Source organism: Homo sapiens, chromosome 22 (assembly GCF_000001405.40).
Source record: "Homo sapiens chromosome 22, GRCh38.p14 Primary Assembly".
NCBI classification, from domain to species: Eukaryota; Metazoa; Chordata; class Mammalia; order Primates; family Hominidae; genus Homo; species Homo sapiens.
This window is the reverse complement of record NC_000022.11, coordinates 20,577,393-20,590,472: the sequence shown is the minus strand read 5'-3', so window position 1 is coordinate 20,590,472 and position 13,080 is coordinate 20,577,393. Positions and strand designations below refer to the sequence as shown.

General features: G+C 59.7%; 1 protein-coding gene and 1 long non-coding RNA gene across 16 annotated transcripts in view; one reads left to right on the top strand and one right to left on the bottom strand.

Annotated features, from left to right (window-relative positions):
- The first annotated feature begins 1,578 nt into the window (after positions 1-1,578).
- Positions 1,579-2,885, top strand: LOC124905084 (uncharacterized). The gene is made up of 3 exons (XR_007068013.1): positions 1,579-1,666; positions 2,512-2,644; positions 2,727-2,885. It is a non-coding gene; the product is annotated as an uncharacterized LOC124905084 (long non-coding RNA).
- MED15 (mediator complex subunit 15) overlaps positions 2,854-13,080 on the bottom strand; it is an 80,010-nt gene continuing 69,783 nt past the window's right edge. For 14 of the 15 annotated variants that reach the window (XM_047441395.1, XM_047441398.1, XM_047441401.1 and 11 more), the window contains 9 exons: positions 7,726-7,862; positions 7,506-7,633; positions 7,226-7,360; positions 7,080-7,143; positions 6,048-6,114; positions 5,458-5,618; positions 5,206-5,372; positions 4,647-4,745; positions 2,854-3,905 (listed from right to left, as the gene is read on the bottom strand). In XM_047441395.1, coding sequence (XP_047297351.1) covers positions 3,769-3,905; positions 4,647-4,745; positions 5,206-5,372; positions 5,458-5,618; positions 6,048-6,114; positions 7,080-7,143; positions 7,226-7,360; positions 7,506-7,633; positions 7,726-7,862 — 1,095 coding nt within the window. In that variant the 3' untranslated portion in view covers positions 2,854-3,768. The remainder of the gene's footprint in view (positions 3,906-4,646; positions 4,746-5,205; positions 5,373-5,457; positions 5,619-6,047; positions 6,115-7,079; positions 7,144-7,225; positions 7,361-7,505; positions 7,634-7,725; positions 7,863-13,080) is intronic. The other variant, NM_001293234.2, reaches the window with a different exon arrangement.

The following is a 13,080-nucleotide window of genomic DNA, read 5'->3' as shown; positions in this document are numbered from 1 at the left end:
GATACGCTGGGAGAAGGGCTCCGGGCACACCCCATCCAGGGATTCCTTCCTGCCATCTCAGCAACAACTGTGGGGATGGGGGTGGGGGGAGTAACCAGAGTCCTGCTTCCCTGCCACTTGTCCAAGGCACTTCCCCATCCCAATGGTGGCCCCCACCCAGCCCAGGATTCTGGTTGAGTTCTTGAGCTCACTCTATTACCTTTGGGGCCGGGGCTGACATCAGGAGGACATCTGACTGGTGAATGGGACCAGCCTGGGAACATCCCAGCTGGGGCATTGTCCAGGGCTCTCCCTTCTAGGGAGACACAGAGAATGGGATTGAGTGAAGGCCCTTCCCTAGCTGCGGTGGCAACTCCAGTGAGCTGTTCTGGGCAAAGTGTGGCCCTGCAGTGCTGGGGACCCTGACAGGACACGGGAAGAGGCCATGCTCTCCCTCCGGACCTGCTGCTCCATGGGTCCCAAGCCCTCCCGCTTTCTGGATGGCCCCTCAGGAAACAACCTTTCCGGGGCCTCTGCTCCCTTGGGCGCGCGGTGGGTCTGGGGCTGCCTCAGTGGAGTGTGGGTAGAGCAGGGAGGACACAGGCCTGCAGGCAGACGGAGGGCTTCTCCCTCAGGCAGGTGTGCGGGTGGCAACTTCCAGCCTGTCAACTCCACCTCGAATTAAATGGTGTCAGGTGAGCAGGCTGGTGTCCTCCATGTGCTCACAGGGGCAAGTGCCCCACAGGGACCCCAGCCTGGGTGGTCACTAGAGGTGCTGACCAGGGAGCTGAAAGTCCTCTGCTGGGCCAACCTCAAGGATTTGGGGGTGAACGGGCAGCTGAAGGGAGCCCTGTAAGCTGAAACCACCAGGAGGGGCCTAGGGTGGGGTGGGCAGGACTGGGGGCCAGTCACAGGGGCTGTCAACGCAGGGCAGCAAGGCCTCATGGCAGGCACCCCAAGCCAGCACAGCAAGCGGTCAGAAGGGGCCTCCTTGGGTGGCCTTCTAGGGGGAAGGACGTACACTGGCTGCCTGGCAGAGGCCCTGCTTGGCCCACGTCCCCCTCCACAAGCAGACAGGATACAGGAGGGATGGCACTGCCCACGGAGCCCTGGGCTCATGGCATCTTCTGCAGAGTGAGCGGGGAGTGGCTCGAGACCAGGCATCTTCCTTGGCCCCAACCCTGGCCCCTATTGTTCCTGTGATGAGCCCAGGCGTGCCATGGGCGTTGTCCTTGCAGAGGAAACCCATGCAGGCTTAGTCCCAGGCCTCGCATGCAGTTTTATTTTACCCAAAACAGAGCCAGCTTCCACTATATTGACTGTTCTAGAATGTTCACAGGCACCACCCATGGGCTTCATCCTCAGAACCTCATTTATTCCTCCTAGAACCCTCCAAGGCAGGCTTCCCTTTACAGAGGAGGCAACTGAGGCAGGGGCTTCTTGGGCACACACAGCTGATCCTGAAAGACTTGGGCAGCGGCTGTTGGTGCCTGCAGTGACTGGCCCTGTCGGGTCTGACCTGCAGCCAACTCTCAAGGAAAGGACAGGCCCCAGCCGGTTCCTTCAAGAAACAAGACTCTAAAGCACTGGGGTACTCTAAGGTACCCCAGAAGGCAGACCTTGAGGAGGAGCCACTGCTTCACAACAGCAAGCTGGACAAAGTTCCTGGGGTGCAAGGGCAGTCCAAGTAAGGTTTGCCTGCACCCTAAGGGCCCCAGGACCACATTTACTAGGCTCCCACACTGCAGTCAGCAAACTGCTGTGTCCCTTGCTCTAGGATCCTGTCTCCAGGGCTCATGAAAGCAGACAATGGCCACGCTCTGTCCACACTCTGTCCATTGGGTGGGCGCTGTCTTCCTCCCCTCCCCTGGAGTCCTGCAGATTACCTGTGCTGACCTGAGCCCACAAGAGGGGGCAGCAACAGCCCCTAAACCACTTTCTCAGAGAAAAGAAAACAAAGTAATCTTTTTACCAAGAAAAGTGAGTTGTGTTCCTGGGCCTGATTAGAATGGAGCTGGTCAGTGCCTGCTGCCCCTGGCCACAGCCTGCCTTTGGAGGGGACTAGGAGAGCAGGACCAGGCTCTGGTACTCCCCGAGTTGCCGGGCTGCCCTGAGACATTGCAGAGTGCACATTTTGAGCGGTGCAACCAGCAGGACAGGCTCCTGCATCTCTGCACGTCCCCTGAGACCAGCCCTGAAGCAAGAAGCCCCACTGGGTATAGGGTCCTGACTAAGGGCAGCCTGGCAGCTAGCTGGTCACCCACTGAAGCACATCTGACCCTCAGGGCACCTTCAGAGGGGAGGAAGGGACAGACCCCAGTCCGAGACCCCCATCTGGCACCCAGAGCACTCTGGTCAGTGGGAGAAGGGAGCCAGGCCCTGTTCCCCACACTGGCCTGGGCACTGCCTGGGGGAAGTATGCTGCCTGGATGCTCAGACCCACCTGGGCAGGTCATTTCTGGCTACTGTAATGACTTTCAGAGACAGGGAAGCAGAGGCCTCTAACGCCAGGGCTTTCTGTTGGGTGGGCAGCCAGCACAGGGACAGGCAGATGATGGCACTCCCCGATGATCCTGTCCCCACACCTGCGAAAGCCCACCACACTTCAGCAGTGTAAGTGGTCATCCACCAGCTGTGGAATACCAACCTTCTGCAGGCCCAAGAGGTGAGGCCCTGGGTGGTGGGGATGGCCCTGGGCAGCCTGGTGCCACCGCAGGCCCCACCACACCCCTGCCCCTGCCTTTCAGCTGCAGCACCTCAAGTCCCTCCTGGAAGGGAGGCAGAGGCCCCAGGCAGCCCCAAGGCTGACAGCATCCTGACAGGACAGCGAGCCCAGATTCATGGAGAAGGGGACACAGTGATGAACAACTGACAAACACAGGAATAATAAATTTATTATAATCACAGATGGTGGGGTAGTGCACATAAAAAGGGGGGACCTCTTCTCACCAGAGGGTGCTGGCCGGTGCCCAGAGTGGCAGGCAACATAGGGAGGCGCTCCCTGCATGGCCCGGCCCGCTGCCAGGCCCGCTGTCTCTGGGTGCTCAGTGTGTGGTGCTCTGAGGACACGGGTCCTGAGGGCCTTGCTCTTCATCCTTCACAGTGGGGACACGGCCCTCATGCCAGCGGCACAGGGGTGCCGGCAGCAGGATCCCTGACGCCCCTGCTCCCTGGGTGCCCCACGGTGCTCAGCAGGAATGCCGTGAGGGCTGAGGCCCAGCTGGTGGCGGGGAGCCAGCAGCACCTATGGGCCAGCCCTCCCTCCAAAAGGCAGCCTGTGCCCTGGACTTGCAGGCTTCCTCGGGGGGTGCTCCACCTGCCCAAAGCAGCATAGCCTGAACCCAAAACTGTGACCAGAGAATCCCATGTGTGTTTTAAGGGTTTCCTATGTCCTCTGTGTTCTATAGGAACGAGTAGGGGTGCGTCTAGCACACACGAGACGCTCTAACAACACCCTGAGTGCACCCTCACGCTGCTGAGATGGACCTGGACCGTGGACAGGCCACGGTGAGAGCAGCCTGAGGATCGCATCTGGCTCCTGGGAGGAAGTCACATGGAGGGCCTTCTCTAAGAAGTCGGCCAACGCCCCCCAAGCAACCCGCTCCACTGCGCCTATCCCAGTTCTGTACAGGTGTGGGATTTCGTTTGGCAGGTCCCCAAGGCAGAAGATAAAAGCAGGAAAGCTAACCTAACCCCAGGCTCTCTAAGGAAGCCAACACCTAGAAGTGTCTGACAGGAGGCGTGTGTCCTTGGCCCCGATGAGGCTGCGGGCCATCCCTGCAGTCTTGGCTAGGCGGCTGAGAGGCAGGCCTGGTGGACGCTCTGGGCCCAGGTGTTGAGCAAGGCGGTGACCGAGTGCTTGTCCGGGAGCTGCAGCAGCCTGGAGGTCATGCAGCGGTGCACCGACTGGAGGAAGGGGTTGGCGTCTGCAACAGAGCAGTGGGCGTGAACCTAAGGCGGCCGGCGCTGCGCTCGCTCCTGGCACACCCGGCAGTGCTCTGGGAAGGGGTAGCCCCAGGCGCGGGCCGAAGCACCAGGAGGTGATGTGTCCTGCACGCTGCCCGGCCTTTGGGCTCTCCTCCCAGAGCCTCATCGTCAGTGAGAACCAAATCTGAACAGGATCTAGGGCTCTGCCTCTAACAACCTTGGGGACCCAGCCTGGCTCTACTGTGTGCCAGCTCTGCTGTGTGCCAGCTCTGCTGTGTGCCAGCTCTGGGCTCAGAGACTGCCCCCTGCCACCGTGGTTCTCTCTGGAGCCACAGCACCCAGATTGGGCCCTGTGTGCCCAAGCTACCAGTGGAACCTGGCAGCCCTGCCAAGGTAGTGGCCTCTGGGAAGCTAGTGGCCTCTGGGAAGAGCGGGGACTGTCCCTGAGCCATGGGCTTACTCACCCCTCACCCACTGAACACAACCACCCTGGACAGCTGACGTGACACAAGTTGAAGGGGCGAAGGGACACAGTGGGAGCAGAGACCCTTTTCTCTCAGGCGACCACTGGAAAACCCGCTGCTGTCTGTGCAGGAGGAGCCAGAAGAGGGGAGGGAGGGGCCTGAGCTGGGGAGGGGCAGGAGCACACAGAGGCTGTCCCTGCTGCAGTGGAAGCCTGGTTTTCCACAATGACCCCTGCTTGCCCTGGGTCCCCAGACAGCTCCTCTGGGTCTACCTACCGTACTGCCACTGCCGGTCTATCCACAGCGGGCTTTGGGCAGGATAGTCAGCGGGCACACTGAGCTCCAGTGGTGGCACACTTGGGAGGTCCTTGTCATCTGCAACACAGAAGGCTCTATCTGTGACCTGGACAAGCCCCGGCCTGCCCTGCCTCACAGCCCTGCTCTGGAACAGGACTCCACACCCAGGGAGGTTCTGGTGAAGCTTGTGGCAAAGCCTGGAGGAGGTCTCTCTGACTCTCAGATTTCCAAACGTGAAGCCTGGAGTGCTCTGCATTGATGGGTGCCCAGAGGTCCTGCCTACCACCTCCCTAGGGCCCAGGCAAGCAAAGCCACATCTGTGTTGGGGAGGTGAGAGTGTGCGGGCTCTGGCAGTGGGGACTGAGGCATGGCCAGGCTGTCTGGAGCCCGGTGTGTGTGAGGATAGAGCAGACAGCCTGGCGGGGCGTGAACACAGGGTGGGTTCTGGGCGCTGTGCCATCTGGCTTGGATGGCAGAGTCCTGGGGCTGCGGTCAGGGCCTGCTTTCCCACACCAGTCCCGGCCCTCTGGACACTCACCCAGCTTGCAGATCAGGTGGACAGTGCCATTGTTGCTGCAGTGAGAAGGGTCCAGGTTTACCAGGAACTTGGGGTCCAGCCTGGCCACCTCACCCTGGAGCACACTGGGGATGCTCTGCCGCTCATCATCCTCAAGCCTGCGCTTCCGGGTGCACACCACTGGGGCCCTGGGGAGGCGGCATGGTGACCACACCTGGCACACGCGGCCCAGGGCTGGCCGCCCTCCGCAAAGCCCAGCCCAGCTGGACATACGTGATGGGTGGGCCGTGAATGGCGGTCATGGCTGGAACGAATGTGCGGTACAGGGAATGGTTGAAGACAGGTGAGCGGATGTTGGCCAGGACGGCATCCAGGAGCGGCTGGCATAGGTACTGCTGTTTGGTCGGTGGCACCGGGGGCGGTGGGGGAGTGGGCTGGAGACAGGATGGGCACGGTCAGCAGCCCGGGACCCGAGGGTTCCCCATTTAGGGGGCCTTCACACCCCAGGCCCATGGTCACTCACAGTCAGATTCCCGAGGCCTCTCTCACAGCCTCCACCCTTGTGCAGACAATGTTGGCTGATCCTGGGAATAATCCCCCACCCCCACAGCCTATCCTCCCTACAGTCCCTGCCTCCTCTGAAATGGGTGAAGGAGGCACCCACGGGGGCCGTAGACAGAGGGTGACTTCTCCCATGTTCCCACCCAGCACAGCAGACCTGGCCAGGAAGCCTCGTGGGCAGGGTCCAAGGTCAGGCCCGGCCCCCGCCCAGATGCCCTGACCTTGAAGGCCCTCTCAGCAGCACTCCCAGGAGCTCTTAGGAGAGCCCTGGTTCCCCTAGGGGTGTCTGGCATCCCACTCACCACCGCCATGTCATTCTTGAGTTTCTCCAGGGCGATCTCACACTTTTGCAAGGTCTTCAGGGGACACCTGCAGAGAGAGAGGACTTGGGCTGAAAGAGTGGAAGACATGGCAGTTCTCAGGCTCAGGATCCCAACTACTGCCACTGGGCCTCAGCCATCAGAAACCTCTGCAGGAGCTCCTACCAGTTGACCAGCTGTTCCCAGACCCAGAGTTGAAGGCAGGCAGCCCTCAACCCCAGGAGCTGCTTGTCCCTGGTTGGCAGAGTGAGGTGATGGGTCAAGAGAAGGGACAGTGGCCAGGCCCCTGATCAGGCTGTGAATGCCTCATTGTCATGTAGGCCAGTCCCTGCCCCACTCATCCCTATAACCCTAACAAAGGATCAACCCATGAAGACCTGGAGGACCACCCAATAGTGACTGGCATTCTATCCAGACAAGCAGAACAGAGAGACCCTTCTAGACAGGGGTTGGGGGATAGCCTGAGTTGAGGTGAAAGGGAGGTATATGCCAATGCCCATGCAGTTTGGAGGTACTGCCCGAGCTCTGATCCTCACAGCAGCCTGTGGCCAGCAGCCCTGCCTTCCACCTGCTTCTCACCAGCGCCACCTTGTTTCATTTTCATGACAACACACGTGGGCTACAAATGGGGTAACTGAGATGCAGTCGCCTGCCCATGGTCACCAGCAAGTCAGGGGCAGAACTCCAGGTCAGGCTCAGGCCCATCTGGGCCAGCTGATGGTCAGGCCACTGCAAGCTGGGCCCCTGGCTGCTGACTGGATGAGGTCTGGCTGTGATGGCCCAGCATGAGGGCCACAGCAGCAGCCAGGAATAGGGCAAAGGCTGGGCATGGGCCAAGATGAAGCCTGGGCTTGAAGCCCCAGCACACACCAGAGTGGAGCCTTGGAGGCCTCTGGCCAGGGTCCAAAGAGCTGCCTGGTGCCTTTGTTAAACCCACATCATCACCAAGTGCCCATCCATGGCTGGGCTATCTGTGCCCTTGTGGACCCTCCGTGGGCTGTGGGCAAAGCTCACCGCTTCGAGGGGTCTGTCAGAATGTCCAGAAGGCTCTTCATCTTACTCAGGTCCTTTTTTCTGTCTGGGACAGAAGAGGGTACACACTAAGACACAAGCCTGGTGGTGTCCCCAGGGTGCAGGCCCCTGCCCTGGCTGCAGCCTACCTTCGTTCTTGTCGATCTTGTTGATCATGCGGCGCAGGGGCTCGATGTACTTCGACAGCTGCTTCAGCTTGTCCAGGTACTGCTGCTCCTCAGCCTGGCTGGAGCCAGCTGGGCTCATGACAGAGCTGGGGTTCACTGCAGGACACAGGCGGGTGAGGCCACAGCCCTCGACCCTCGGGTGGGGAACTTGAGCTCTGAGGGCCCCAGAGCTCGCACACCCAGTATGAGCTGAGGCCTCATAAAGGTGAGGAGTGACCTTAGCACCTCAGGCCCAACTTACCAGGTGTGTTTAAAGGTCCAGGTGAGGGGACACTGAAGTTCTGTGGGGTCCGCGCCGTCACTGGGCTCTGGGAGGGCTGCGGTGAGGGGCTGGGCAGGAAGCTACTGGGAGATGGGGCAGGGCCAGAGCTGCAGCCAAGTGAGAGAAACATGTGAGCCGGGGTCCAGGCAGGGCCAGCCTCGAGGGCCAGGTGGGGAGGGGCACCCCAGGCCAGGCCTACCTGACGTTGGAGTTGGGCTGTGAGCTGGGCTGGCCGGGCTGCGGGGACGGCTGGGGGGGAGGGGGCATCGACTGCGGGGTCTGCACCTGCTGGCCCGGTGACGGCGAGGACAGCATGGGGAGGCTGCTCTGGCTGACCTGGAAGTGGAGGGGCTCAGCCGGCGCGCTGCCACACGCCCGCCCGCCTGCCTCCACACCACCTGCCCACCGCACGCATAGGCCCATCCTCCCGCACAGCCTCACCACACACCTGTGTCTTCATCCAAATGCCACCTGGACATACACACAGGCACACTCCCCCAGCCTGGCACACAGCATGAGGTGACCAAGGGGCTGGCGGGGGGGGCCCAGGCAGGGCAGCCCTTGCTCCTTGGCCAGGGACCCACAGGGGCACAGGCTTTGAGGGCTGTGTCGTGGGAGTGTGAGGAAAAGGGCAGTCTGGGAGGCAATGCCCTTGGCTGGCACTAGCCTGGCCTTCCCTGACACGCCTGCCTGTCCTGTGACATGCTCCTCTGTGGGTCGGTGAGGACCCTGCTCTGCTGACCAGTGGGACCGTCTTCCCACATGCTTCCACAAGCCCCCGCAGCCCCCAGGCTGACTGCACCAAGGACAAGCCTGGTGGCTACAGCCATCTGTTGTGGTTAACACATGCTGCTGCAGGGCTGGTCCCAGGCTGTCCCACCTGGACCTGCTTAATTGGAGTGAGGTGGCCCAGGGAGCCACACACACACCCATGGTGGCACTTGCATCGGCCCACACCAGCGCCCCTGGGAGAGGCGAGCTACTCAGTGTCAGACACCTGGGCCCAGAGCCTGGTTCTGCCATGCAGGTGTGCACCTGAGTCCTCTGAGGCCCTGTGTGTATGCAAAGCAAGGCTGTTGCTCTGCTCCCCAGGCCTTGCTGGCCACGACACAAATAAGATCAATCACCCCAGTGTCTGCACCAGGGACACCACTGTCTTCATCCGTAAACTCTAGGGATGAAACCACACCACCCAGGCATCAGGGATAAGCATATGTAAAACACCCACACCTTCCTGGGGTGGAGCACAGATGGCTGCTTTGATGGGGAGAACAGCTGCCTGCCAGCCCTGGGCGTCTGGCCTCCCCTAGAGGGACTCTCAGCAAAGAGGGATGCCTTGTCACACTGGGGGAACCCTGAAGGCCCTGCTACATTTCCCACACCCTAGTCAACCCCCTGCATGCCAAGCATCCCCTCACAGTCTGCCTAGGAGCCAGGCCCCTGGACCATCCATTTCTGTAGACCAACTCAGTGCTTCTCCTGGGGCACTCTGGCCATGAACGCCTGTCTCGGGCCACGGCTCACACCACCCCCCAAGCACTTCCACCACAGTGCTGTGAGTACTGGGATAGGACAGCTGCTTTCTAAGCTCCTTAAATTGGGGACCAGGCCCAGAGCCCACAAACAGAATGCTGCCCTCCTCACCACCCCACCAGGCAGCAGAGGGCAGGGTGGCACTGCCCTTTCAGCACCACGTGGACCAAGCTCCTGGAGCGAAATGCTCTTTCTGTCCTGCCTGTTCCATGGGCTGTGCCTGACAGTGCTGCAAGGGATGCTGGGTGCAGGCCGTTCCTGAACCACGTGTGCTGGGAGACCAGGGGGTGGGGGGCTAAGGCACAGAGCGTGACCACAACAGGGTACTTCCAGCACAGCTGGGTCAGAGGTCCCTATCCAAAGCCACTGGCCCAGTGGGACATCAACCGATGGAATGGACTGTTCCCACTGCTTTGTGGTCAAGACACCTCTGCCTGGGAGAGGAGGGACAGAGTGCAGGAGCCCCAGCCTCGGCCTGCCGGGCCTCATCACTCTACCTAATGGAGCAAAATGGCTCGCGGTGATTCTCGCAAAGGTTAGCAAGGTCAGAAACGGGGACTGATGTGACTTCATTTGCTAAATGCTGAGTTGAACAAGTACAGAGATTTCTCCCACCAAAGTCCTGTGCATTCACGGTGCTGGGGTGCACAGAGCCCTAGCTGAAGAGGAGTAAGGGCATGTCCCAGACACCGGAACACATGTTCTAGACTTATCCAGGTGTCAACAAAATCCCAAGGCCAGAAAATTCCATACAGAGAACCACAGACGGCACCGAGGAGTGGGAAGCAAAGACTCTGGGCCCCATGCTCAGCCCAACTCTGCCTTTTCTGACCCATGCTTGACTTGCTGCTACTCTCTACCTGCACCCCAGAAAGCTGTCTCACAAGCTCACCTCTCTTCCTGCTTGAAGGTCAGGGCCCCTCCCCTTGCCTCTACCTGACTGCCTCTTCCAGAGAGGCGCCTGTGCCTGAGCAGCTGTCCCTTCTAGAAGATGGTCAGCTCTTTTCTGTGGCCTAAAGCTCAGCGCTTCTCTGAGGAGCAAGGCAGCTGCAGGCTGGGCAGAGGCTGCCAAGCAGAGAAGGCCACCACACAGCCCTCATTGCCACTCAAGAGTTCTCATCTGCTCTCGAACCTCAGGAAGCCCGGCACCCACTTTGGCCCTGAAGCGGCAATCTCACCAGCCACGCCCGTGGGGCCTCCAAGCACCCACCCAGAACTTAGGTCTATCTCAGTTCTTCAGCTGCCCCAGGTCAGGGCAGCTGGTGGCCAGCAGAGCCTACAGGATGGGAGACAGGGAGATTTCTAGTGGGAAGAAAAACAAACGAGGGGCACCCTTTCATTTCCAAGAGCACAAGAGCAGAAAGCCAGGCCCTGTGCCCAGGTGTCAGTGGTGGACAGTCCAAGTCCAGCACCTGGGATGAGAAGCAGCCCCCCAAAGACTCATCTGAAGACACAACTGGCATTAGGGAGGCAGCCAGAGAGGTCGGGCGCCGGTGTGTCACAGCTAGCAAAGGCCCCAGGACAAGAATGTCACACATCCTAGGGAAGGAGTTTCTGAGTGCACACCACCTGTCACCTGTGTGTCACAGGTTGGGAACAGGGAGCTCAGAGGGAAGTGACTTGCTCAAGGTCATCCTAGTGATGAAGGGAGCTCAGGCACGCTAAACATCAACACCCCAGCAACACCACCACCCCAGCAACAATGGCCTGAACTGCATTTCTGGGAAAGGGACCCACACAGCAGCCTGGAGCTGAAGGCAGGTGGACACCGAGTGGGCCAGAGAGGAGGTGGGAGGGCAAAAAGGCTGGTCCAGGGAGCTCCATCTCACAGAGGAACCCTCAGGCAAGGCTGGCGGCACTGCGCGATCCCCACCCCCGCCCCCACATACTGGGAACCGTTCCTTGCTCCTGGCTCCGGCACTCAGTGTGTCCCCTGGAGGCACTCCCCAGGGTGCAGTGGAACACGGGTCTCACCCTGGCAGCTGGCAGCCAGCAGAGCCCAGAGGATGGGAGGCAGGGAGATTTCTAGTGGGAAGAAAAACAAATGAAGGGCACCCATTCATTTCCAAGAGCACGAGAGCAGGAAGCCAGGCCCTGTGCCCAGGTGTCAGTGGTGGGCAGTCCAAGTCCAGCACCTGGGATGAGAAGCAGCCCCTGCAAAGACTCATCCAAAGACAGGCTCTAGGCTCTGGGGAGGCAGCCAGAGAGGCGAGAAAGAAACCTCCCAGTCCTTGGTCTCATGTCAGGTCTGGGATTGGAGCAGGGAACAGGGAGGCAACAGTGCCTCTCTAGTCAAAGGACAAGCCCCTAGTGAGAAAGACACTGCCTGCTTACATCTGCCAAGGGAGGATTGTGGCATGGGCCATGCCACCCCCTGGGCCCCCGTGCTGAGCACTGTGTCCAGAATGCACCCAGCACAGAATCCTGCTTGACCTGGTAGCCTGAGTCCGTGAGGCATGCCCACCGTAACAGGAAGATGCAGCCATGAGCCGTCAAGACAGAGGGAGGGAGCCTGGGCCCTGCCCTCTGGAGAAGAGCCCATGGGGCACGTACATTCCCTCTTTCAGCTCCACCTGTTTTCTTGGACCTAATTTGTTGCCACAAGGAAAGAGCAAGAGCAAATGGGCAGTGTAGTCTCCAGACTGTGTCCTGCTGACTGCTGAGGGCAAGTGGCTGGAGGGACAGTGGCCACAGAGTGGCCATCTGGACACACTGGAGACAGCAGGTTCTGGCCCCTGAGAGCTCAGATGGGACACAGTGGGGCAATTCCTGGTGAGATCAACAGATACGTTCCTGAGATAAGCTCTCTTTTTCTCGGAAGGGACTGGATTGAAAGATACTGACACAAAAGCAGAGGCACACCTCTGGAGCCACCTGGTGTGGTCAGGTGAATGCCCTTGGTACACGGGGCCCAGCATGCCTCACGTCCCCAAGGCTGGCCCACAGCCAGGTGTGGGAGACTGTACCAAGAGCCTGGTACTGCAGCCGGACGTAGAGGGCTGAGCTGGGGAGGGCCCTCTGCGGGGAAGGCCAGGACCAGAGAGGGCTGCAGAGCAGCTGCCTGGGCAGTAGGGAGGCTTCCACTCCAGGGTGTCCCTCTATTCGCTTTTCTCCCTCCCTCAACTCCTTCCAGTTTCCTTTCTTGCAGCTAACAAGCATGAACAAACCTGCTTTAAAAACACAGTACAAGGCTGGGCGCAGTGGTTCACACCTGTAATCTCAACAGTTTTGGAGACCGAGGCGGGCGGATCACCTAAGGTTAGGAGTTCAAGACCAGCCTGGCCAACATGGTGAAACCCCATCTCTACTAAAAATACAAAAATTAGCCAGATGTGGTGGCAGGCGCCTGTAGTCCCAGCTACTCGAGAGGCTGAGGCAGGAGAATCGCTTGAAGCTGGGAGGTGGAGGTTGCAGTGAGCCAGGAGTGCGCCATTGCACTCCTGCCTGGGGGACAAGTGCGAGACTCTGTCTCAAAAAAAGAAAAACAAACAGTAACAATGACAACAAAATAACAGAACAAAACCAGAACCTTGCCCCAGTTCTGTGCCTTCCTTCCTCTTTCCATAAATCCTGTGGCTTTTGTCTACTGCCGGGACGAGGAATACTTTCTAAATGCTGCCGCGTTTGTCCTCAGTGAACAACCCCAAAGGTTCAGGGGTGTGCCTCTCACTGCCAGTGCGAATGGGCGGGGCCTGGTGATTAAATCTGTGTGCAGTTAGCCAGCATCTTCCCATGAGAGCGCTCTCACCCCACACAGTGCAATGAGGACAAACCAGAATTCTCCATGGCATTTATTCCAAGGCAATAACTTTTTCAGCTTCATCATATATTTCTCTATCCTTCCTCTGCTCCACCTTACCTCCTTGCCTTTGGGGGTTGGAAGCTTCTAGAGAGAGAGAGACCTATTAGCTGGCATAACTCAGGGCAGACTTAATCTAAGGGCCAGGGAAGGCTGGGGAGGGAAAGACTGAGTGGGTTTGGGAACTGGTGGGAAGGAGGGAGGGAGGGAGGGAGGGGCTGC